Below are 3863 nucleotides of genomic sequence, written 5' to 3' on the forward strand. Positions count from 1 at the left end.
TTTTTTTTTTTTTTTTTTTTTTGAGATGAAGTCTTGCTCTCTTGCCCAGGCTGGAGTGTAGTGGTGTGATCTCGGCTCACTGCAACCTCTACCTCCCAGGTTCCACGGATTCTCCTGCCTCAGCCTCCCGAGTAGCTGGGATTACAGTCGAGCACCATCACACCTGGCTTATTTTTGTATTTTTAGTAGAAATGGGGTTTCGCCATGTTGGCCAGGCTTGTCTCAAACTCCTGACCTCAGGTGATCTGCCTACTTCAGCCTCCCAAAGTGCTGGGATTACAGACGTGAGCCACTGGGTAATTTTATATTTGCCTTTCTCCACACCTCTGTATTGGAAGCTTTTTTTTTTTTCTTAATGGCAATGAGTGTTTTGAAGCCACATCTACTCTGTAGTTTAACCATTCTCACTGTAGCCATTTCCACAGGACAGATAAAGCAAGATGTGTGTCTTGGCCTGTAAAGTTTCACGTGATCTGAGGGCTCCCTCAGCATGGATGCTGTTAACAAACGTGGTGCCCGCCCACCGCAACACACAGACACATAACTGTGTGGTAAGCCTTTGCAGAGGCCAGCGAATGGGCCCTGCAGCTCAGGCCCTGGTGGGCCTTGGCCTCAGCACTGGGGATGCCACTACCCCGTCAAAACCTGTAGCTGGCTCCTTCTAGAATGTGCTATCACCCTGCCCTCAGCCTCTGAGCACAGTGAGGGCTGTATGTCCCCACTGGACAGTGCAAGTGGCCTGGGGGTGTGTCAGATGGGGAGGTTAAAGTCACACAGCCCCAGACCGCAGAATCAGGACTGGAACCCAGACCTCACTGGCTCTGATTTGTGTAGAAACCCCTGGAAGCTGCCTGGAGCAGGGCAAGGAGGGTTGAGCAGCTGGTTCACTGCTGCTCCTGGCCCATGTTTTAGGTGTTGTGGGGGCATCTTACAGAGCTCTTTTGGGAATCCCCCTCTGCTCCCTGTGTCCCTGGGCCCTTGTCGGGTGACAAGCGGCGCCCAAGAACTCTCAGACCAAGGTCCTGGCCTTAAGTGACTCCAGATCTCGGGGAGACACAGCCAGACACAGCCAAGCCAGTCCTGTGAGGTCAGGCTGGGGACATCCAGAAAGGTGGCAGCCTTGGGGGCCGGGATAGTGTTGGTGCAGGCAGGGCAAGGTTGGCTAGGCAGGGGCTGCCACAGAGATGGGCACCACAGCAGTCAGAGCACAAGTGCCGGAGCAGACGGCTGAATGGCCACAATGGGCTCAGGTGAGGGTCCAGGGGCCCAGAAGAGCTTGGGATGCCCTGTCCTGAGCCTGTTAGGCTAGAGTGTCCACAAGAGCGGGACACCCCCCAGGATCACTCAAGTCTTCAAAACCAGATTCTGTGGGGTACCCCAAGCTGGCATTGGGGGAACCTACCCAGGAGCGCTGAAGGAGGACTCTCCTTCCCCAGGCTGCTTTCAGACAGAGGTCCTTGGCTTTCTACAGGGAGCCCAGCCAGGCTCACAATAAGCCAGGCCTAGCGGAAGAGAGCAGTTTTTCTTGCTCTGAGGTTTCAAAAGGGCTTGGTGAATTTTAAAAAGCTCCAAGACCCACCTGGAGCTCACTTTCAAGGTGCAGCTACAGGGCAGTGTAGAGTTGTTGGGCTTTGTGTCTCAGGAGGAGCATCTCTGCACTCTGGAGAAGTATCTGGTGGCGTCAAAGCCAGGTCTCAGGAGTTGGTTTTGGGGATGTGTCCATCTTGGCTTCCCAAGTGCTCCCTGGGCTGCCAGGAGCCATCATCTAGGGAATTTTCCAGGTCTTACCTGAACCCCACATCCAGGCTTACAGGGCTTTGAGTCCTCGGTCCAGACAGGGTCAGTCCAGCACTGCTGGTCGCCTGTGTAGCACAGGCTCCTGTCTGCCGTCTCCAGGCCCTTGCCATAGCAACAGGGATGGGCATTTATGGGCCCTGATGGCTCTTACTGAGCTCTTCCTGCCACATCCTGAGGATGCTAGGGCTGCAACTGGGGTGGCCCTGTGCAGTCACAAAGCAGGGAGTCCGGATTGGAGGATTCTTACATGCTGGTGCCCCCAGAGCCCCTGCGTGTCTGCGGGGGCCTCCCATGAGAGCCAACTCAATTGTGGAAGACAAACCGGAGGGGCTGCTGCCCTTCTCAGAACCTGAAACCTGGAACCCTATATGAATCTGCATTTCTGATCAGCCCCCATTGTGGGTCTAGGGCTAACGGCCATCAGTGCTTTTTCTCTGCTTGAACAGGTAGAAGCCCCCAAAGTTGTCCATTGGCCATGCCCCTGTGAGGGCATGAGCCAGAAGTGAGGGCAGTTTGTTTTTCAGTGATACTTCAGAGAGGGCCATTTGAGATGGGCTCTGAGGTAAGCATAGGAGTTCACCAGACGCAGAAGGAGGTCACAACCTGGGCTGGGTTCAGTAGGTGGGTTCCAGATTATCCCCACCCCAACCTGGGCTGGGTTCGGCAAGTGGGGTCCAGGCTCCTCACTCCCCCTTGCTGCTCTTGGTTGACAGGAGAGTAACAACATGGTGGTGCCTGCCATGCAGCTCGCCAGCAAGATCCCGGACATGTCGGTACAGCTGTGGTCGTCAGCACTGCTGAGAGGTGAGTGCAATGGCCACCCCTCTTCCCCAGCCCCAGCCTGGCCCTCCCCAGAGATCAAGGCTGCTGGGCATGTCCTGCTCAGCCTTAGCTCGGACTAGGCCTCCGTGGGCCGCAGCCCCAGTTCTAGCATGGGTAGGGGGTGCTCCTCAGGAGACCCTGGTTGAGGGCAGTGGGTGCATTTGTGGCATCCGCTTGACTCGGGGTCTGGTTCAGTCTCTATAGGACACAGAGGCTGCGACTTGGTATCTGGTAGACTTGGGCTGTTAGCCGTGGCGCTCTCAGCCTTGCTTCTTCCCGGAAAGGCAGACAGCAGCCATACCTATTGGGTAGGGCTGGCCAGCTAGCTCTGGGAGCAGGGCGGGCACTCAGCGGGTATCATTGCTGTTACCGCAGCTCCCCCATTTCCAGATTACGAAACTAAGGTCCGGAGACTCGCCTGGGGCCCTGGGGAGGTGACAGGAGACGGGGTGCTCCATGTGCAGTGGGCTGCCTGGGGCTGCTGCCTCAGGATGGGCATTGGGCGTCCTGCCCCAATGAGCGCCTGTTTGCCTGAGGGCTGGCCATGGGCTCCCTGGAGGGCTGGCGAGAAGCCTGGCATTGGGCTTTCACTGCCCAGCCAGCCCTGTTCTGCCCTATGAGGGCGGCTGGCGCATGGGCTTTGTGATCCCAAGACAGGGCTCAGGTCCAGTGACGTGCCAGGCACCCAGAGATCCACCAGTGCAGCTGGGACTTGACCTTAGGGCTCCATCTGCACCGAGTGGGAGGGCCTGGGCAGTGACAGGGCAAGGCGGGCCCCCATGCTCATGTCCCACTCTCAGACCTGAATAAAGCCTGTGGGAACGCCATGGATGCCCATGAAGCCGCCCAGATGCACCAGAACTTCTCGCAGCAGCTGCTCCAGGACCACATTGAGGCCTGCAGCCTCCCCGAACACAACCTCATCACGGTACGGGTGTGGGTGTTAGGGGACGGGATCAGGACTAGCGGGCTCCCCACCTGCAAGAGGAAGGGGCACCTTGGCTGTATTTCTCTTTTGTCCAACAAACCCTAACTCAGCCTCAGGTGATCCCTTGATGGGGGAGATGGCCATGGGCACCCCCACCCAAGCAAGGGACCCAGGTGTCTCCTCGGGGCCCATTGGACTGGGGCATGGAGAACAGAGTCCCGGCTGTGTGAGCAGCCCAAGGAAGGCAGCATTCCAACCTCTTCTTCCCTGGGAACGGTCCACAGTGCCTCACTCGCATGTCCTCTCCTCCCCACAG

General features: G+C 57.4%; 1 protein-coding gene across 5 annotated transcripts in view; it reads left to right on the forward strand.

Moving 5' to 3' along the window:
• MAU2 (MAU2 sister chromatid cohesion factor) overlaps positions 1 to 3863 on the forward strand; it is a 37926-nt gene that overhangs the window by 31016 nt on the left and 3047 nt on the right. For all 5 annotated transcript variants that reach the window (NM_015329.4, XM_005259837.4, XM_005259838.5 and 2 more), the window contains 2 exons: positions 2511 to 2601; positions 3420 to 3547. In NM_015329.4, the coding sequence (NP_056144.3) occupies positions 2511 to 2601; positions 3420 to 3547 (219 nt within the window). The remainder of the gene's footprint in view (positions 1 to 2510; positions 2602 to 3419; positions 3548 to 3863) is intronic.

This window comes from Homo sapiens, chromosome 19 (genome assembly GCF_000001405.40).
Source record: "Homo sapiens chromosome 19, GRCh38.p14 Primary Assembly".
In the NCBI taxonomy this organism is placed as follows: domain Eukaryota; kingdom Metazoa; phylum Chordata; class Mammalia; order Primates; family Hominidae; genus Homo; species Homo sapiens.